We start from the raw sequence: 22,623 nt of genomic DNA, 5'->3' as shown, positions 1-22,623 counted from the left end.
AAATTAATCCTGTTCCGCTGTCTTAGGTGGAACTTCTGAAGTCAGCAGCTAGTTTTGTCTGGCGCAAAAGCTGTCCACTTCTGTAGTCAGTGTCAGGATTCCTAAGAATCCTCAGTTTAAGGTCTTCAGATAAAATGGATGTCCATTAGTGTAGGAAGAGGTGATGTATATCTTTTAAGTTAAATATTTTGTATACTCTTAAAAATCTAAGTATCGATGGCCGGGTGTGGTGGCTCATGCCTGTAATCCCAGCTACTGGGGAGGCTGAGGCAGGAGAATCGCTTGAACCCAGGAGGCAGAGGTTGCGGTGAGTGGAGATCGCGCCATGGCACTCCAGCCTGGGCAACAAGAGTGAAACTCTGTCAAAAAGAAAAAACAAAACACACACACACACACACACAAAACACTAAGTATCAACACCTTGGAGTTTTACTGATACATCAACTTGTTAACAGTACTGAAAAGACTTTTTTTTTTTTTTTTTTGACGGAGTTTCGCCCTTTCACCCAGGCTGGAGTGCAGTGGCACAATCTCGGCTCACTGCAACCTCCGTCCCCCAGGTTCAAGTGATTCTCCTGCCTCAGCCACCCAAGTCGCTGGGATTACAGGCACGCCTAGCTAATTTTTATATTTTTAGTAGAGACACGGTTTCACCACATTGGCCAGGCTGGTCTCGAACTTCTGACCTCAGGTGATCCACCTGCCTTGGCCTCTGAAAGTGCTAGGATTACAGGCGTGAGCCACCGTGCCCAGCACAAGAAGACATTTTTTTTTTAACCAAGGTTCAGGGAAGTTGTATTTCTGTTGCCTATTTCAGAAGACCAGATCTCCAGGTTGCGGATCATGCAGAGGATGTTTAGGTACATACTTTGAAAATGCACTTTGTCGGTCATAATGCTGGAGGTATTATATGAGTCTCTTGGAATATTCAGCCATATTAGACTGTAAATCAGTAGTATCTGGGATTGGAAGTGAAATTCCCAAATGCATGAAGCAGGCTTTTATTAACTTAGAAGTTGATAACCTGTGGATCTTTGAGAGCTTTGATCTCATTGTCATCAGGGCTAATGACAGTTCTCTGGGCCTGGGAAGTCCAAGGATTTTTGAAAGCTTTGATAATTATAATTTGAGAATTCTATTAATTGTCTTTATTTTTTTTATGAATTTGAGCATGGCAAGGATAGAGGAGTTTTTGAGTAAAATGTAATATGTTAAGGGAGTAAAATGTAATATGTTAAGGGATTTAAAAATAATGATACCAACAAGATGTGTGTCCCTGTTACTAGGGAGATACCTCGAGATTTCCCACATCAGGAGCATAAAAGCAAGCAATTAAAAAAATCACTATATTCAGTTCTATAGCAAGATGAGGACTCAACCAACCATAAGAATAGACCATGATAACCAGAACACACTCACAACCCATTTGGAGAGGTTTAAAATGGGCCTCAAGGCTGTACTTCCTGCCCATTTCCTACCCTAATAGTCTTGCAAGATTGCACAACTGCAGGTAGGACACTTCCTTGAAAATATCTTGGACAATATCTCTCAAAATTGCCCCACCATTGTTGGTTCAGTATTGTGGCCAATCTATCTCTGCTACTGAGAGAGAAATTATGAAGCATTTTGGCTGAAATGTTTTTATTATGATTACCTTCTTGGATAATGGCAAAACATCTCCAAGTTTTCAAATTCACCATTTCAGACATGAGGGTTCTTGGAGAGGTCAGAAAATCTCTGTTTCTAAACCGTTGTGATGTTATGAACTATCTTAAAATCACAAGTTTACTATAAATATAAAAATCTTCTTTTACATTTTGTCAGTTGATAAGTCTGGGCCAAGGCAATCAATTTAGCCATCTGTTTTGCAAATTATTAGTTGTTGTTTTTCAGAGACAAGGTCTAGCTTTGTCACCCAGACTGGAGTGAAGTGGCAAAATCATGGCTCACTGCAGCCTCAAACTCCTAGGCTCATGTGATCCTCTCGCCTTAGCCTCCCAAGTAGCTGGGACCACAGATGCTTGCCACCACATCTGGCTTGTAATTCTTTTATGAGATGATCCCTCAGGTATGGTCACTGGAGGAGATGTCAGAGAGGCTCAGAAATAAAACAGTTTATTTACTCACAGGTTGTACAGACAGGAGGCCAGGTACATCATGCAGGGCCACATGGGAAAGACATCAGGGTGGTCTGAAGGCAGAAGACACGAGCAAGGGGAGGATTTAGGCCATGACCTTTACTGGGACTTCCATACAATAGGCAATGCAGGGCAGGGTGAACAGTTTATGACTGGCTAGTTTGAATAACTGCCTTGGGCTTTGGGCTACATAAGGATGGTTTCTAGTTGCTTGGTACCTGGCCCTAGTGTCAGAAGTGTCCTGGCCGGGCGCGGTGGCTCACGCCTGTAATCCCAGCACTTTGGGAGGCCGAGGCGGGTGGATCATGAGGTCAGGAGATCGAGACCATCCTGGCTAACAAGGTGAAACCCCGTCTCTACTAAAAATACAAAAAAAAAAAATTAGCCGGGCGCGGTGGCGGGCGCCTGTAGTCCCAGCTACTCGGGAGGCTGAGGCAGGAGAATGGCGTGAACCCGGGAAGCGGAGCTTGCAGTGAGCCGAGATTGCGCCACTGCAGTCCGCAGTCCCGCCTGGGCGACAGAGCGAGACTCCGTCTCAAAAAAAAAAAAAAAAAAAAAAAAAAAGAAGTGTCCTAACCCGAGTGACTGCATCTTGAATAAAGGCCAAATAAAGCCAAAACTGCTGGGTTACATTCCCAGGGGGTTGGGAACTCTTGGTCACAAGATGTTTATGGTTGAGGGGACAAGTTAAGGAGGCTAATTACATAAGATCCACAACTTAAGGAAATGTCCTGATGTCCCAATATCTTAAGAACAAAATGCACTCTTAGTTTAAGAATACATTTCACTTTTTAAAAATTTTTATTTATTCATCTATGTTTTTGACGGCGTCTTGCTATGTTGCCCAAGCTGAAGTGAAATGGCGTGATCTCGGCTCACTGCAACTTATGCCTCCCAGGTTCAAGCAGTTCTCCTGCCTCAGCTTTCCAATTAGCTGGGATTGCTGGCACCTACCACCATGCCCAGCTAATTTTTGCATTTTTAGTAGAGACGGAGTTTTACCATGTCAGCCAGGCTGGTCTCGAACTCCTGACCTCAAGTGATCCACCTGCCTCGGCCTCCCAAAGTGCTGGGATTACTGGAGTGAGCTACCACGCCAGGCCAATGTCACGTTAAAGATAATAGTATACCCATAAATTCTTGCTGAAATCAATAGTTATAAAAGAGAATAACAATGCTACTATCCTGTCACAAGCTGATCACAAGCCTTTGTAATAAAGCACGTAAGACCGTTATTCTTAGCTCTATTATCCTATCTAAGCAAGCATTGTATTTGAGGTGATTTTGTTCCTCCTTGCTTTCTGAGGACACCCTACTCTGCAATAAAGTAGTCTCTAATCAGAGTATAGTGAACTATCTTAACTTCACTATACTCTGCGACTTGCCCTGAATTTTTTCTTGCATGAGATCCAAGAACCCGCTCTTTGGGATCTGGAACAAGACCCTTTTTCCGGTAACAGTAGATGATTAGGAAGAGGAACGTGGGCCGGGCACGGTGGCTCACTCCTGTAATCCCAGCACTTTGGGAGGCGGAGGCGGGCAGATCACCTGAGGTCGGGAGTTCGAGACCAGCCTGACTAACATCGAGAAACTCCGTCTCTACTAAAAATACAAAATTAGCCAGGCGTGGTGGCGCATGCCTGTAATCCCAGCTACTCGGGAGGCTGAGGCAGGAGAATTGCTTGAACCTGGGAGGTAGAGGTTGCGATGAGCCGAGATCACGCCATTGCACTCCAGACTGGGCAACAAGAGCAAAAACTCTATCTCAAAAAAAAAAAAAAAAAAAGAAGAGGAATGTGGCCTCCTGGGGTATCTGGGCCAAACAGAGGAGGTACGGCTCTGGATTGGTTAGTTTGCATATTAAAGATGCTCCTGGCTGGGCCTTTGTTATTTTTAAATCTTGGCTAGCCCCAGGAGGGGCAGTCTCCCCCTAGTCAGAAAGGTTTTTAAAAATATCAAAACATCATAATACGCAGAAAATGTAAAATGTTTATAATACAAAATGTGAACTGATTTAGTTTCTATGAGAAGCTTATATTTTAAGGACAAACTTAAGTCTGTGATGGGTTATCTTGTTTAGCAATTTTTAGTTTTACTTTTTATGTTTGAACCATTAATGAATACAATTAAATCAGGGTTATTTAAGAAAGTCTCTGGATCAAGCTTCTCCAACCCGTGGCCTGTGGGCTGCATGAGGCCTGGAATGGCTTTGAATGTGGCCCAACACAAATTCGTAAGCTTTCTTAAAACATTATGAGATTTTGTTTTTTTTTTGCTTTTTTTTTTAAGCTCATCAGCTATCATTAGTGTTAGTGTATTTTATGTGTGGCCCATGACAATTCTTCTTCCAATGTGGCCCAGGGAATCCAAAAGATTGGACACCCCTGATCTAGAAGATCTGTCCAGGGCTCAGATACTCAGATAATCTCCTAAAAGAGGTAAGCCACCATGGAGTTTTACTTTTTCTGGTAAAGGAAGGAATATTTAATTATCATATTTTCTTTTCTTTTCTTTCTTTTTTTTTTTCTTGAGATGGGGTCTGGCTCTGTTGCCCAGGCTGGAGTGCAGTGGCGCGATCTCAGCTCACTTCAACCTCTGCCTTCCAGGCTCAAGTGATTCTCATGTCTCAGCCTCCCAAGTAGCTGGGACTACAGGTGCATGCCACCTTGCCCGGCTAATTTTTTTGCATTTTTGGTAGAGATGGGGTTTTGCCATGTTGCCCAGGCTGATCTCAAACTCCTGAGTCAAGTGATCCGCCCACCTCAGCCTCCCAAAGTGCTGGGATTACAGGCCTGAGCCACTGCGCCTGGCCATATTTTCTTTATGTATGATTAACTTAAGTTAAACTCTTTAGATTTGTAAAGTTTATTATTATCATTATTACCACCACCATTATTACTAAGTTTAGCAGAGAAAAGCTCTCATAACAGCTTTTACTTAATAGTTGGATAAATTTACTCTTATTATCTTTTATAGGATTGAGGAACAAATCTTTGTGTTACTTAGAGCTGCTATAACAAAGTATCATAGAGTGGTGGCTTATAAACAACAGAAATTTATTTCTCACAGTGCTAGAGGCTGAAAGTCCGAGATCAGGGTACCAGCTTGGTTGGAAGACAGGGTCTTTCTTTGTTGCTCAGGCTGGAGTGCAGTGTCAAGATCATGGCTCACTGCAGCCTCCACCTCCCAGGCCCAACCAAGCCTCCCACCTCAGACTCTCAAGTAGCTGGGACTACAAGTGTGTGCCGCCACGTCCGGCTAAATTTTTTTTTTTTTTTTTTTTGTAGAGACAGGGTCTCCCTATGTTGCCAGGACTGGTATCCAACTCCTGGGCTCAAGGGATCCTCCTGCCTCGACTTCCCAAAGTGCTGGGAGTACATGCATGAGCCACTGCAACGAGCAGGTATGGTTGGTTATTGTTAGGGCTCTCTTCCAGGTTGCATATTGCTGACTTCTTTTTGTTTTTTGAGACGGAGTTTCACTCTGTCGCCCAGGCTGGAGTGCAGTGGCACAATCTCGGCTCACTGCAAGCTCCGCCTTCCGGGTTCACGCCATTCTCCTGCCTCAGCCTCCCCAGTAGCTGGGACTACAGGCACCCGCCACTGCGCCCAGCTAATTTTTTTGTATTTTTAGTAGAGACGGGGTTTCACCATGGTCTCGATCTCCTGACCTTGTGATCCGCCCGCCTCGGCCTCCCAAAGTGCTGGGATTGCAGGCATGAGCCACCGCGCCCGGCCCGCCTGCATATCGCTGACTTCTTGTGTCACATGGCAGAAAGAGGGAGAGAGAGCTCTCTGGGAGTCCCTTTGATAAGCGTACTAATCCCATTCGTGAGGTCTCCACCGTCATGGCTTAACTGCCTCCCAGTGGCTCCACCTCCTAATACCATCATGTTGGCGGTTCAGAGTTCGACATATGAATTTTGGGGAGACATAAACATTCAGCCTATTATTATTACCTGATGAACATTTTAGGAACCCAAAATATGGTTTAGGTATAAAAGACATCTGGCCGGGCGCGGTGGCTCACGCTTGTAATCCCAGCACTTTGGGAGGCCGAGGCGGGTGGATCACGAGGTCAGGAGATCGAGACCACGGTGAAACCCCGTCTCTACTAAAAAAAATAAAAAAAAAATTAGCCGGGCGTGGTGGCGGGCGCCTGTAGTCCCAGCTACTCGGAGAGGCTGAGGCAGGAGAATGGCGTGAACCCGGGAGGCGGAGCTTGCAGTGAGCCGAGACTGCGCCACTGCACTCCAGCCTGGGTGACAGAGCGAGACTCCGTCTCAAAAAAAAAAAAAAAAAAAAAAAAAAGACATCTTAATAGTTTTATAATTTTGAATTTAGATCGTGAATTCAGGAAAGGCAAAATCAAGAATAACTGTTAAAGGAGAAAAGGTGTAAGTCATAAATATCTAAAAACAAGAAATATTTACAGTCAATGATATAAAACCATGCTAGATTATACTAAGGCTAAAGCTGTAATTCGCCCCCCACCTCGTAATAAAAGCAAAAAGCAGTAGCAATCACTCACATTAGCCAGGAGAGGGGGATATTTGTTAATTTCTGTGGCTTGAACGTGTTTTGTCTGTGTTCAGACATGATTATGCAGTGGTCCTCCTTTTTGTCTCACTTCATTACCATCACAGAGGGACCTTGCCGGATGTTGGTACTCTTTGAAATTGTTTATGCTCACGGGAGAACAACAAAGTCTAGCTGTGAGTGCCACGCCAACTCCTACATGTCCGGGATTATTTTTTTCTTTCCCATCACTGTGATAGAAAAAATTGGTGATGCTGTTTTATTGGTGATATGTTACATGCATTTTAAGTATAAGCTGTCAAGACTTACAAGGAGCCCCTTTTGTGAAATCTAATGAACATATCATGGTTCGTTTGTATTTTTTGGGAGGCGGGGTGGGGTGAATATGTGCTGCCAAAGTGAGCACAAACATATCATGCTGTTGAAATAGGATTTTAAGCCAGAGAGCAAACCCGGGTGAAATCCGGACAAGAACAAATCTGCAGAATTTTGTTTTAACCTCTCTGGGCCCTATTAACTTCCAGTCAAACTTGTAATAAAACTAAAGCTAAAGCATCACTTTCACATCGAGGACCTTGCTCACCATCACCTACCCATCCCACGCTCATTCCACCACTGTCAAAGTGTACCCTTTCTGACTTTGTGCTCCTACCTGCTATAAACTTCCATCAAAACACTTTATTTCATGGTGTTTGTGTCCCTCTAGAGTCCTACACTACTCTAGAACTCAAAGAAAAGAACATATCTCATTCATCTTATTCAGGCCTTAGACAAAAAGCCTGGGACAGGAAAGTACTCAATATTATTTAATTAATTAACTGTTAATAAAACATGTTTTAACAGAAGACATGACAGAAAATATGACTTTGAAAACTTCATCCACATGAAGTACCTTCTTTTGTTTTTTTTTAGACAGGGTCTTGCTCTGTCACTCAGGCTGGACTGCAGTGGCATGATCACAGGTCAGTGAAGCCTTGAACTCCTAGGCTCAAGTGATCCTCTCTCCTCAGCCTCCCAAGTAGCTGGGACTACAGTTGTGCACCACCATGTCTGACTAATTAAAAGAATTTTTTTTTAGAGATCGGGTCTCATTGTGTTGCCCAGGTTGGTCTTGAATTCCTGCACTCAAGTAATCCTCCCACCTCAGCCTGCCAAAGCCCTGGGATCACATGTGTGAGCCACCATGCCCAGTCTACATGAAGAATGTTGAATAAAAAGTGACAAGAGAGGAAGAAGACTGAAGTTTAAAGTTCTTCACTTAGGGACATTTTGCAAAACGAACGAAATCTGATAAATTCCTCATGAGTCACTGCAAGCCTCTATACCTGGTGTTTAATGGTTTATTATAAAAATTTTGTACAAATGCTATTTGTTTCCCAGTAAGGGGTTGTCATTTCCACCTCATTGGTCCTTTTTGTGTACCTTTCCATGCAGTGTTCCCAGGAAGATATATATAGGTATATAAAGAGCAGAGGACCTATTTCCATTAAATAAGCAATGATTGCTTTTATCTTATTATGAACATGATGCATATATATGCAAATATATATGTATTTGTTCTTTTTTTTTTTTTTTTTTTTTGAGACAGAGTCTTGCTCTGTCGCCCAGGCTGGAGTGCAGCGGCGCAATCTCAGCTCACTGCAAGCTCCGCCTCCCTGGTTCGCGCCATTCTCCTGCCTCAGCCTCCCGAGTAGCTGGGACCACAGGTGCCTGCTACCACACCCTGCTAATTTTTTTGTATTTTTAGTAGAGACGGGCTTTCACCGTGTTAGCCAGGATGGTCTCGATCTCCTGACCTCGTGATCTGCCCGTCTCGGCCTCCCAAAGTGCTGGGATTACAGGCATGAGCCACCGCGCCTGGCCTGTTCTTGTTTTTGAGACAGAGTCTAACTTTGTTTCCCAGGCTGGAGTGCAGTGGCACAATCACGGCTCACTGCAGCTTCAAACTCCTAGGATCAAGCAATCCTCCTGCTTCAGTCTCTTGAGTAGCTGGGACCATAGGTGTGTAGCACCACACTCAGCTAATTTTTACATTTTTTGTAGAGATGAGGTCTTGCTTTGTTGCCCAGGCTGGTCTTGAACTCTTGGGCTCAAGCGATCCCCCCACATCAGCCTCCTAAATTGCTGGGATTACATGTATGAACCACTGTGCCTGGCCCATATATTAATAATATAATAAAATATATTATGAAAAATGATCTCTAAACCTATCACCTGGAGGTAACCACTAGCAATATGTTGGTTTATCTTCTTCTTGGCCTTTTTGTACTATGTGTGTGTATCCACAGACATACACACACATTTAAACCAAAACCTCCTTCCTTATTCAGTTGGCCACGGCAATAATGACACTCTTCTATACAGAACTCTCATCCTTCACATCGAATGCCAGGGAAGTATTTCCTCAGCAGTTTCTTCTCTGATTCCATCCACTGCAGCCATAATGAAGAGGAATATAGAGACCAAATCCACCTCAGGAGCACAGGAATACTGAAAGCAATGGAGAGAAGATGGAAATTCTGGCCAGCTGCTTACTAGGACAACATCAAATCAAGGCCACCACTACACATAAAATACAAGAAAACTAGTAGTGAGAAGCCATTTTCTTTCCCTTTAAAAACTAAAACAACAAAATCATTACAACATGCAATTATGAACCTTTTTCAGGGTCTTCTCCTTTATTTTTTTATTTTTTATTTTTTTCAGACAGAATCTTGCTCTGTCACCCAGGCTGGAGTGCAGTGGCATGATCTAGGCTCACTGCAACCTCCGCCTCCCAGGTTCAAGCGATTATCCCTCCTCAGCCTCCTGAGTAGCTGGGACCACCGGCTTGCACCACCACACCTGGCTAACTTTCATATTTTTATTAGAGACAAGGTTTCATCATGTTGGCCAGGCTGGTCTTGAACTCCTGACCTCAAGTGATCCACCGCCTCAGCCTCCCAAAGTGCTGGAATTACAGGTGTAAGCCACCGTACCCAAGCTGCTTCTTTATTTTTGTTTGGAAACTATTTAGTTTATGTAAGAATTCCTAGAGGTTATAAGGCTTTCTGGACTAAATGCCCAAGAGACTCCTGAGGTATACACCAGACACTATTTGATTCCCTGTTACTGTGGCATGTAGTTCCAGGCACTACTAACAGCCACTCATGCCATGGTGGTTCTGGGAAGTCCAAATATACATTGAAGGCCAGAGAGTTGGGTATTGTCCATCCAGGGTATTGTAAGCCTTCAAACCACTTCTGTCACATAGCTGAAAATATGCCTTTAGGGTCTTCTCTTCTGCACCTCCTAGGCACTTTTCTCAAACCTATCCAAAGATTAGAATTTGGCTTTTCTTTTCTTTCTTTTTTTTCTTTTTCTTTCTTTCTTTTTTTTTTTTTTTTTTTTTGAGACAGACTCTTGCTCTATCACCCAGGCTGGAGTGCAGTGGCACGAACTCAGCTCACTGCAACCTCTGCCCCCTGGGTTCATGCGATTCAGAAGGCCTGAGCCTCCTGAGTAGCTGGGATTATAGTCGTGCCACCATGCCCGGCTAATTTTTTTTGTATTTTTAGTGGAGACGGAGTTTCGCCATGTTGGTCAGGCTGGTCTCGAACTCCTGACCTCAGGTGATCCACCTGCCTCAGCCTCCCAAAGTGCTGGGATTACAGGCGTGAGCCACCATGCCTGACCTGAATTTGGCTTTTCTATATGAGACCATGTCTTAGCTCAGGCTGCTATAATAACGTACCGTAGACTGGGTAGCTTAAATAACAGAATTTTATTTCTCACAGTTCCGGAGGCTGGAAAAATTCAAGAACAAAGTGCTAGCCAGGCTGGGCATGGTGTCTCATGCCTGTAATCCCAAAACTTTGGGAGGTGAGGCAGGAAGATCACTTGAGGCCAGGAATTTGAGACTAGCCAGGACAACATCGAGAGACCCCATATCTACAACAACAAAAAGTACTAACCAATTTGGGTCCTAGTGAGAGCCCCCTCTTGGTTTGCAGAAGGTCATCTTCTTGCTGAATTCTCACATAGTTGATGTAGAAAGAGCAGAGAGGGAGAAAGAGAGACACAGAGAGAGAGAGAGAGACCTCATGTCTTATCCTTTTAAGGGCATTAATCCCAGGATGGGGGCTCCACCCTCATGTTCTCATCTAAACCGAATTACCTGCCAAGGTCCTACCTCCTAATACCATCATATGGCAGGGAGGTGTTTCGGCTTTTAACTTATAAATTTTGAGGGGATACAAATATTTAGTCCGTAACAGACCTCTAAGTAAAATTTCACTTGAAAAATTGGTTCCATGGCTTGGCGTGGTGGCTCGCGCCTGTAATCCCAGCACTTTGGGAGGCCGAGGCGGGTAGATCACAAGTTCAGTAGATCAAGACCATCCTGGTCAACATGGTGAAACCCCATCTCTACTAATATACAAAAAAAAAAAAATTAGCCAGGTGTGGTGGCATGCACCTGTAGTCCCAGCTACTCAGGAGGCTGAGGCAGGGAGCCTCCTCCCGCTTGAACCCGGGAGTCGGAGGTTGTGGTGAGCCAAGATCACGCCACTGCACTCCAGCCTGGTGACAGAGTGAGACTACATCTCAAAAAAAAAAATTCGTTCTATGGTTATAATTTAGCCAACAGAATCCACAGTTCCAGGCAATCATAATATATCATTTTTACCCAATCAATTTACGAATGGCTTATATCATTTTGCTCTAGTACTGTTTCATTTTACATTGTTATTGGTTTCTTGCACTTTGGATGTGGTAATTCACTGAATTTCCCCTTTTCCAGGACATTATTGTTTCTGTTCATCATTAGATGCCATCTTGCATTTCATAGTCTCTATCACCTGATGTAAAAATTACCATTGTCGGCTCCTAGTCCAATAACCTCTTTTACTAAGACCAGGCTCACCTTTCTAACCTTTCCTAAGGTATATTGGGGCATTTTAACTAGAATCAATAGTTTCCAGTACCTGTGTCTCATACCTGGGAGGCAATGGATATGGTCACAGCCATCTCCCCTCTCTGTGCCAAAGAAATTTATGGGACTGATGGCTGGATCCACAGTCTAAATAATCAAAATGAAGAGTGTTTCCAACCTTTTGTTCACTGGATCCATCAGTAAGAGTGCAGTCTCCTCTGCTCTTGAAACCCATGAGAGGCCAGGTGCAGTGGCTCAGGACTATAATTTTCTGTCTCATTGATCTGTCTAATATTGACAGTGGGGTGTTAAAGTCTCCCACTATTATTGTGTTGCAGTCTAAGTCTCTTTGTAGGTCTCTAAGAACTTGCTTTATGAATCTGGGTGCTCCTGTATTGGGTGCATACATATTTAGGATAGTTAGCTCTTCTTGTTGAATTGATCCCTTTACCATTATGTAATGCCCTTCTTTGTCTTTTTTGATCTTTGTTGGTTTAAAGTCTGTTTTATCAGAGACTAGGATTGCAACCTTTGCTTTTTTTGCTTTCCATTTCCTTGGTAAATATTCCTCCATCCCTTTATTTTGAGCCTATGTGTGTCTTTGCATGTGAGATGGGTCTCCTGAATACAGCACACCGATGGGTCTTGACTCTTTATCCAATTTGTCAGTCTGTGTCTTTTAATTGGAGCATTTAGCTCATTTACATTTAAGGTTAATATTGTTATGTGTGAATTTCATCCTGTCATTATGATGCTAGCTGGTTATTTTGACTGTTAGTTGATGCAGTTTCTTCATAGTGTCAATGGTCTTTACAATTTGGTATGTTTTTGCAGTGGCTGGTACTGGTTGTTCCTTTTCATGTTTAGTGCTTCCTTCAGAAGCTCTTGTAAGGCAGGCCTGGTGGTGACAAAATCTCTCAGCGTTTGCTTGTCTGTAAAGGATTTTATTTCTCCTTCACTTATGAAGCTTAGTTTGGCTGGATATGAAATTCTAGGTTGAAAATTGTTTTCTTTAAGAATGTTGAATATTAGCCTGGCACGGTGGCTCACGCCTGTAATCCCAGCACTTTGGGAGGCTGAGGCAGGTGTATCATCTGAGGTTGGGAGTTTGAGACCAGCCTGGCCAACATGGAGAAACCCTGTCTCCAGTAAAAATACAAAATTGGCTGGGCGTGGTGGCACATGCCTGTAATCCCAGCTACTCGGGAGGCTGAGGCTGGAGAATCACTTGAACCCAGGAGGTGGAGGTTGTGGTGAGCCAAAATTGCGCCATTTCTTTCCAGCCTGGGCATCAAGAGCGAAACTCTGTCTCACACACACAAAAAAAAGAATGTTGAATATTGGCCCCCACTCTCTTCTGGCTTGTAGGTTTTCTGCCAAGAGATCTGCTGTTAGTCTGATGGGCTTCCCTTTGTGGGTAACCCGACCTTTCTCTCTGGCTGCCGTTAACATTTTTTCCTTCATTTCAACCTTGGTGAATCTGACAATTATGTGTCTTGGGGTTGCTCTTCTCAAGGAGTATCTTTGTGGTGTTCTCTGTATTTCCTGAATTTGAATTTTGGCCTGTGTTGGTAGGTTGGGGAAGTTCTCCTGGATAATATCCTAAAGAGTGTTTTCGAACTTGCTTCCATTCTCCCAGTCACTTTCAGGTACACCAGTCAAACGTAGGTTTGATCTTTTCCATGGTCCCATACTTCTTGGAGGCTTTGTTCTTTCCTTTTCATTCTTTTTTCTCTAATCTTGTCTTCATGCTTTATTTCATTAAGTTGATCTTCAATCTCTGATATCCTTTCTTCTACTTGATGATTCAGCTATCGATACTTCTGTATGCTTCACAAAGTTCTCGTGCTGTGTTTTTCAGTTCCGTCAGGTAACTTATGTTCTTCTCTAAACTAATTATTCTAGTTATCAATTCATCTAACCTTTTTTCAAGGTTCTTAGTTTCCTTGCATTGGGTTAGGACGTGCTCCTTTAGCTTGGAGGAGTTTGTTATTACCCACCTCCTGAAGCCTACCTCTGTCAATTCATCAAACTCATTCTCCGTCCAGTTTTGCCCCCTTGCTGGCATAGAGTTGTGATCCTTTGGAGGAGTAGAGGCATTCTGGGTTTTGGCATTTTCAGCCTTTTTGCACTGGTTTTTTCTCATCTTCATGGATTTATCTACCTTTGGCCTTTGATGTTGGTGACCTTCGGATGGGGTTTTTGTGTGGATGTCCTTTTTGTTGATGTTGATGGTATTCCTTTCTGTTTGTTAGTTTTCCTTCTAACAGTCAGGCCCCTCTGCTGCAGGTCTCCTGGAGTTTGCTGGAGGTCCACTCCAGACCCTGTTTTGCTGGGTATCACCAGCAGAGGTTGCAGAACGTGCTCCTCCATGCAGACAATTGCTGCCTGTTCCTTCCTCTGGAAGTTTCACCCCAGAGGGGCACCTGCCAGATGCCAGCCGGAGCTCTCCTGTATGAGATGTCTGTCAACCCCTGCTGGGAGGTGTCTCCTAGTCAGGAGGCATGGGCGTCAAGGAGCCACTTGAGGAGGCTGTCTGTCCATTAGCAGAGCTCGAGCACCATGCTGGGAGATCTGCTGCTCTCTTTTTTTCTACTTTTATAATGTCAAAAGCAAAGACTTTTTTCCACTCTTACTGAACTGAGTTATCTTCCAAAGTTGTAACATCTATACAACCTCAAATCATTATTTAAAAAGTGTTAAATATCATGCATGAATGAGTATTTTCAAGTCTGGAAAGACTGTTAGAAATTTAATTGAAGGCTTCCATAGCAGGCTGAACTTGAGCATGAGGGACCACCTGGTATCCTAAATTTTCTCCTCTGCCTCACAATTGTGTTGAATACATTGTGACTCAGTAAAGTTAGCAACATCAAAGAACTCATCATCAGAGAAGTTTAGTCTCTAGATTTTTTCTTTTCTTTTCTTTTCTTTTTTTTTTTTTTTTTTTTTTTTTTTTTTTTTTTTTGAGAGAGAGTCTCACTCTGTCACCCAGGCTGGAGTGCAGTGGTGTGATTTTTTTTTTTTTTTTTTTTGAGACGGAGTTTCTCTCTTGTTGCCCAGGCTGGAGTGCAATGGCGCGATCTCGGCTCGCCGCAACCTCCGCCTCCCAGGTGCAAGCAATCCTCCTGCCTCAGCCTCCCGAGTAGCTGGGATTACAGGCATGCACCACCACACCCAGCTAATTTTGTATTTTTAGTGGAGACAGGGTTTATCCATGTTGAGGCTGGTCTCAAACTCCTGACCTCAGGTGATCCACCCACCTCGGCCTCCCAAAGTGCTGGGATTACAGGGGTGAGCCAACACGCCCAGCCTAGTGGTGTGCTCTTGGCTCACTGGAACCTCTGCCTCCCAGGTTCAAGCGATTCTCCTGCCTCAGCCTCCTGAGTAGCTGGGATTACAGGTGCACACCACCACGCCTGGCTAATTTTTGTATTTTTACTAGAGACGGGGTTTCACCATGTTGATCAGGCTGATCTCGAACTCCTGACCTCATGATCCACCCACCTCGGCCTCCCAAAATGCTAGTATTACAGGCATGAGCCACCACCCCTGGCCGTAGTCTCTAGATTTTTATTTGAAAACTAAAACATTTTACCAAAAAAGAGAATTTTAGACCAATATCCTTGATGAACATTGATGCAAAAATCCTCAATAAAATACTGGCAAACCGAATCCAGCAGCACATCAAAAAGCTTATCCACCATGATCAAGTGGGCTTCATCCCTGGGATGCAAGGCTGGTTCAATATACTCAAGTCAATAAATGTAATCCAGCATATAAACAGAACCAAAGACAAAAACCACATGATTATCTCAATGGATGCAGAAAAGGCCTTTGACAAAATTCAACAACCCTTCATGCTAAAAACTCTCAATAAATTAGGTATTGATGGGACGTATCTCAAAATATTAAGAGCTATCTATGACAAACCCACAGCCAATATCATACTGAATGGGCAAAAACTGGAAGCATTCCTTTTGAAAACTGGCACAAGACAGGGATGCCCTCTGTCACCACTCTTATTCAACATAGTGTTGGAAGTTCTGGCCAGGGCAATTAGGCAGGAGAAGGAAATAAAGGGTATTCAATTAGGAAAAGAGGAAGTCAAATTGTCCCTGTTTGCAGATGACATGATTGTATATCTAGAAAACCCCATTGTCTCAGCCCAAAATCTCCTTAAGCTGATAAGCAACTTCAGCAAAGTCTCAGGATACAAAATCAATGTACAAAAATCACAAGCATTGTTATACACCAATAACAAACAGAGAGCCAAATCATGAGTGAACTCCCATTCACAACTGCTTCAAAGAGAATAAAATACCTAGGAATCCAACTTACAAGGGACATGAAGGACCTCTTCAAGGAGAACTACAAACCACTGCTCAAGGAAATAAAAGAGGATACAATCAAATGGAAGAACATTCCATGCTCATGGGTAAGAAGAATCAATATCATGAAAGTGGCCATACTGCCCAAGGTAATTGATAGATTCAATGCCATCCCCATCAAGCTACCAATGACTTTCTTCACAGAATTGGAAAAAACTACTTTAAAGTTCATATGGAACCAAAAAAGAGCCCTCATCACCAAGTCATTCCTAAGCCAAAAGAACAAAGCTGGAGGCATCACGCTACCTGACTTCAAACTACACTACAAGGCTACAGTAACCAAAACAGCATGGTACTGGTACCAAAACAGAGATATAGATCAATGGAACAGAATAGAGCCTTCAGAAATAACGCCGCATATCTACAACTATCTGATCTTTGACAAACCTGAGAAAAGCAAGCAATGGGGAAAGGATTCCCTATTTAATAAATGGTGCTGAGAAAACTGGCTAGCCATATGTAGAAAGCTGAAACTGGATCCCTTCCTTACACTTTATACAAAAATTAATTCAAGATGGATAAAAGACTTAAAGGTTAGACCTAAAACCATAAAAACCCTAGAAGAAAACCTAGGCATTACCATTCAGGACATAGGCATGGGCAAGGACTTCATGTCTAAAACACCAAAAGCAATGGCAACAAAAGCCAAAATTGACAAATGGGATCTAATTAAACTAAAGAGCTTCTGCACAGCAAAAGAAACTACCATCAGAGTGAAGAGGCAACCTACAAAATGGGAGAAAATTTTTGCAACCTACTCATCTGACAAAGGGCTAATATCCAGAATCTACAATGAACTCAAACAAATTTACAAGAAAAAAACAAACAACCCCATCAAAAAGTGGGCAAAGGACATGAACAGACACTTCTCAAAAGAAGACATTTATGCAGCCAAAAAACACATGAAAAAATGCTCACCATCACTGGCCATCAGAGAAATGCAAATCAAAACCACAATGAGTTACCATCTCACACCAGTTAGAATGGCAATCATTAAAAAGTCAGGAAACAACAGGTGCTGGAGAGGATGTGGAGAAATAGGAACACTTTTACACTGTTGGTGGGACTGTAAACTAGTTCAACCCTTGTGGAAGTCAGTGTGGCGATTCCTCAGGGATCTAGAGCTAGAAATACCATTTGACCCAGCCATCCCATTACTGGGTATATACCCAAAGGATTATAAATCATGCTGCTATAAAGACACATGCACACGTATGTTTATTGCGGCACTATTCACAATAGCAAAGACTTGGAACCAACCCAAATGTCCAACAATGATAGACTGGATTAAGAAAATGTGGCACATATACACCATGGAATACTATGCAGCCATAAAAAATGATGAGTTCATGTCCTTTGTAGGGACATGGATGAAATTGGAAATCATCATTCTCAGTAAACTATCGCAAGAACAAAAAACCAAACACCGCATATTCTCACTCATAGGTGGGAATTGAACAATGAGAACACATGGACATAGGAAGGGGAACATCACACTCTGGGGACTGTTGTGGGGTGGGGGGCGGAGGGATAGCTTTAGGAGATATACCTAATGCTAAATGATGAGTTAATGGGTGCAGCACACCAGCATGGCACATGTATACATATGTAACTAACCTGCACATTGTGCACATGTACCCTAAAACTTAAAGTATAATAATAATAAAATAAAATAAAATAAAAAAGAAAACTAAAACATTTTATAAGCAGTGCCATGGTTTGAATGTGTTCCCCAAAGTTCACGTGTTAGAAACTTAATCTCCAATGCAACAGTGCTGAGAGGTGGGACATTTAAGAGGGCAGAGCCCTCATGAATGGATCAATGCCATTATCATAGGATTGGGTTCCTCATGAAACAATGAGTTTGGCATCCTTCCCTTTTGCTCTCTCATGCTCTCTTCCTTTTCAGCCTTCCTCCATGAAATGAAGCAACACAAAGCCCTCACAAGATGTCAGCACCTTGATCTTGGACTTCCCATCCTCCAGAACTATGAGAAATAAATCTCTGTTTTTTTGTTTTGTTTTGTTTTTTGTTTTTCATAAATTGCCCCATTTCAGCAGCAGCAAATGGACAAAGACAAGCAGATAAAACTTTCTATTAAGGTAAAATTATAGGCTGGGTGTGGTAGCTCAGGCCTGTAATCCCATCACTTTGGGAGGCCAAGGTGGGTGGATCACTTGAGGTCAGGAGTTTGAGACCAGCCTGGCCAACATGGTGAACTCCTGTCATACTAAAAATACAAAAAAAATAAAAAAATAAAAAATAAAATAAAATTTAGCCGGGCATGGTGGTGAACGCCTGTAATCCTAGCTACTCTGGAGGCCGAGGCAGGAAAACTGCTTGAACCTAGGAGGCACAGGTTGCAGGGAGCCGAGATCCGCCACTGTACTCCAGCCTGGGTGACAGAGCGAGACTTCATCTCCAAAAAAAAAAAAAAAAAAAAGAAAGGAAAGTAAAATTATAAGTGGCTTCTCATAGAATGATTAGATACTTTGCTTAGATGACTGTGGGCCCTTTTTGTGTAAATGTAGTCTGTCTGCCAGGTGATGCCCAACACCACGCCTAACCCTATTTCATCCTCAGCACCCGACTTATTTGACATATCACCTGGTAATAAAAATATGATCTTTTTTTTAAAAAAAAATTGCCCGGCGCAGTGGCTCACACTTGTAATCCCAGCACTTTGGGAGGCCTAGGTGGGCAGATCACAAGGTCTGGAGTTCGAGACCAGCGTGGCCAACACAGTGAAACCCTGTCTCTACTAAAAATACAAAAAAAATTAGCTGGAGGTGGTGGCAGGCACCTGTAATCCCAGCTACTCGGGAGGCTGAGGCAGGAGAATCACTTGAACCTGGGAGGCGGAGGTTGCAGTGAGCCGAGATTGTGCCACTGCACTCCAGCCTGGACAACAGAGCTATGTTCCATCTTGGAAAAAAAAAAGTCTATATGGTCTGTGGAAGTGGGAATCCATAATAAGACAGGGAAACAGCAAGTGATCAAGTTAGATCATAAGGCAGACGTCAGATCACAAAAGCACATGCTTGGGCGGTTCCAGTAAGAAGCTATGTCATGGTTGAAAGGCAAGACACTCCTAGAACCTTAATAATTTTCCACGTGAACATTGTAAAAGAAGTCTATACGCCTACAGAATAGCATAAATTCATACCATGGACTTATTTATACCTAGGCCTATTAATTTATACCTAGGACTGCCAGGCGTGGTGGCTCACGCCTGTAATCCCAGCACTTTGGGAGGCCGAGATGGGCGGATCACGAGGTCAGGAGATCGAGACCATCTGGCTAACACTGTGAAACCCCGTCTCTACTAAAAATACAAAAAATTAGCCAGGCACGGTGGCGGGTGCCTGCAGTCCAAGCTACTCAGGAGGCTGAGGCAGGAGAATGGCGTGAACCCAGGAGGCGGAGCTTGCAGTGAGCTGAGACTGTGCCACTGCACTCCAGCCTGGGCGATGGAGCAAGACTCCGTCTCAAAAAAAAAAAAAAAAAAAATTTAGGGACCATTACCTTTACCTTTATCTTGATAGACTTTTACACATATTTGCTACTTATGATGTTATAAAAGTAATAAACATTCTTTTAAAATCTTCCCCATATTACAGAAATATGTGAGTTTGAAATGAAAGGTCCCTGTTATCTCCCCACCAGCTATAATCACTAACAAAAGGTTTTTGTATATTCTTCAATATACATATTTATTTTTTTCTTTCTTTTTTTTTTTTCGATACAGGGTTTTGCTCTGTCACCCAGGCATCAAGATAATACTTTACTGCAGCCTCGACCTCTTGGGTTCCATCAATCCTTTCACCCCAGCCTCCCATGTAGCTGAGACTACTAATATGGGTGCCACCATGCCTGGCTAATTTTTTATATTTTATTGTGACAAGGTCTTACTGTGTTGCCCAGGCTGGTCTCAAACTCCTAGGCTCAAGCAATCCTCCTGCCTTGGCCTCCCAAAGTTCTGGGATTACAGGCATGAGCCCCCACGCCTAGCTTGTTTATCTTTTTTTTTTTTTTTAACGAATGCATCTTTTGTCATTTTATAGCTCCCCACTGCAGCTGCCCCTCCACCCTTCCCTTTGATGACCACGTTGGCAGGCTTCAGGGGGACCAGGGAACAAAGCTGGGGAGAACAAGTCACAATTACAAATTATCACAACAATTAGCACCTGTACCTGGGGGATCTGCAAATTGAGGAAGCCCCAGCTCCTCATTGTACAGGGGTCTATTTGGCAGTGACCTTGCTCTGGAGATGATGATATTCCTTCAGCCTGAGGGAATTGATGTTGATGAAACTGGTGGCATCGATTGGCTCATAATCAACCTGCACGTTCATGCTCACCAGCTCCTCGTTGTAGATAAACAGAGGGACTCCTGGCCTAGGATGTACACCAGGCCCTTGAAGACGGACACCTGCACTTTCCCTTCCACTCACTCCTGGGACTTGGCAATGCAGTGGTGGACAAATTTACACTCAAGGCTGTGCCAGAAACCGGTATACACCAGCTCAGCAAATTTCAAGCCCAGGCCTTATTTGATTTTGCATACTTCCCGGTCCATGGTGAAGGCCCTGATGTCTAAATGAGCATGGTAAACGATGGTGTCTGCTGGGGTCTCATAGATACCTGGGGACTTCATTCCAGTGAAGTGGTTCTCCTTGATGTCAATACGGCCCAAGCTGTACTTGCCCACGTCTTCGTTCAGGTACAGGAAGAGCTCCAAGGAGGTCTGGTGGGTGGTGCCATCCTTGACGTTGGTCACTTTCATGGGGACTCCTTATTTGAACTCGATCTCGAGAATGTCAGGGGTTCTGGGGGCTTTGGCCGGGTCCTGGGTCTTCGTGGAGAGACCTGGAAATGCTTGGTTCTTAGGGTTCTCCAAGATTCCAGCCTCATTGCTGATCTGCATGAGGTTCTCGTCCATGTTCCACAGGTTCTTGGGAGTGACTGGGATGGGAATCCCGTGTTGCTTTGTGTGTTCCATAAGGTCATTTCGGACCTTGAACCTGTTGTAGAACTTGGGCATCCTCCAGGGAGCAATGACCTTTATCTGGGGGGGCCAGAGAGTAGCAGTTTAGCTCAAACTGGACCTGATCATTTCCCTTTCCTGTGGCGCTGTGGGACACTTACTTGGCCCTCTCCTGCTGGGCGATTTCCACTTGTTTTCGGGCGATGCAGGGCCTGGTGAGAGAGGTGCCCAGGAGGTAGTGGTCCTCATACAGTGCGCTGGACTGGATGGCCAGCCAGATGAACTCCTTCACAAACTCCTTGCTGACTTCCTCAATGAACACCTTTTTGCCCCCAAGCTTCAGTGCCTTCTTCCTGGCTTCCTCAAAGTCTTCCTTCTGGCCAGTGTTGGCCACGTAGGCAATGATGTCATAGCCTTGTTCCTTCAGTAACACGAGGATGCAGGAGGTGTCCAGGCCGCCACTGTAGGCCAGAACCACAGAGCCTTTGCTGGACATAGCATCTGGAATTGGAGGCACGAGTTCCCGGCATCTGGAATCTGTCTTAACAGTGCAGTGAACCACTTGGGCCTGGGCAGCAGTGGCAGGAGATGGAGCAGGGCTGTTTATCTTTTAAAAATGAGATTTTACAATCTATGGGGGCACATATAAATGTCACTAATATTGATAAAAATATAACTTTTAAGAGGCTTCATACTATTCTAGTTTATGGAAGAATCAACTGTAATTTATTTTAATTTTTATTAAATATCACATATACAAGACTTTTTCAACCAAAATGTACATGTTATTTATTTATTTATTTATTTATTTATTTATTTATTTATTTATTGAGATAGGATCTCACTCTGTCACCCAGGCTGGAGTGCAGTGGCACGATCACACTTCACTGCAGCCTCAACCTCCCTGGGCTCAGGTGATCCTCCTGCCTCAGCCTCCTAAGTAGCTGGAGCTACCAGTGTGCACCACCACACCCGGCTAATTTTTGTATTTTTTGTAGAGATGGGTTCTCACCACGTTGTACAGGCTGATCTCAAACTCCTGAGCTCAAGTGATCCACTTGCCTCAGCCTCCCAAAGTGCTGGGATTGGCCTGGTGCGTGGTAGCTTACGCCTATAATCCCAGCACTTTGGGAGGCTGAGGCAGGTGGATCATCTGAGGTCAGGAGTTCGAGGGCAACCTGGCCAACATGGCAAAACCCATCTCTACCAAAAATACAAAAAAAGAAAATTAACTGGGCATGGTGGTGGGCACCTGTAATCCCAGCTACTAGGAAGGCTGAGGCAGGAGAATCGCTGGAACCTGGGAGGCGGAGGTTGCAGTGAGCCAATATTGTGGCGTTGCACTCCAGCCTGGGTGACAGAATGAGACTCTGTCTTTAAAAAAAAAAAAAAAGTGCTGGGATTACAGGCATGAGCCACTGTGCCCAGCCCAAAGTGTATATTTTAATGAGTAATAATAAAAAAGTATAAACTGGGTGTGATGGTACATGCCTGTACTCTCAGCTACTTGGGAAGCTGAGATGGGAGGATCGCGTGAGCCCAGGAGTTTCAGGCCAGAATAAGCAACATGGTGATACCTACTCTCTAAAAAAGATTTTTTTAAAAAAAACCAACAAAACAACAAACACCCATGACCCCTGCTTAGGAAATAGAACAC

General features: G+C 43.7%; 1 pseudogene, besides 2 other annotated features; it reads right to left on the bottom strand.

Annotated features, from left to right (window-relative positions):
- Positions 55-1,043: an enhancer, noted in NCBI's record as "H3K27ac hESC enhancer chrX:114919634-114920622 (GRCh37/hg19 assembly coordinates)". NCBI's record gives its function as "activates a minimal SCP1, AML or CMV promoter by ChIP-STARR-seq in naive H9 embryonic stem cells {active_cell/tissue: H9 hESC(naive)}" and the evidence as "EXISTENCE:reporter gene assay evidence [ECO:0000049][PMID:30033119]".
- Positions 5,401-5,952: an enhancer, noted in NCBI's record as "H3K27ac-H3K4me1 hESC enhancer chrX:114914725-114915276 (GRCh37/hg19 assembly coordinates)". NCBI's record gives its function as "activates a minimal SCP1, AML or CMV promoter by ChIP-STARR-seq in naive H9 embryonic stem cells {active_cell/tissue: H9 hESC(naive)}" and the evidence as "EXISTENCE:reporter gene assay evidence [ECO:0000049][PMID:30033119]".
- ASS1P5 (argininosuccinate synthetase 1 pseudogene 5) lies at positions 20,018-21,564 on the bottom strand (annotated as a pseudogene).

The sequence above is a fragment of the Homo sapiens genome, chromosome X (genome assembly GCF_000001405.40).
Source record: "Homo sapiens chromosome X, GRCh38.p14 Primary Assembly".
NCBI lineage: Eukaryota > Metazoa > Chordata > Mammalia > Primates > Hominidae > Homo > Homo sapiens.
This window is presented reverse-complemented; position numbering and strand designations above follow the sequence as displayed.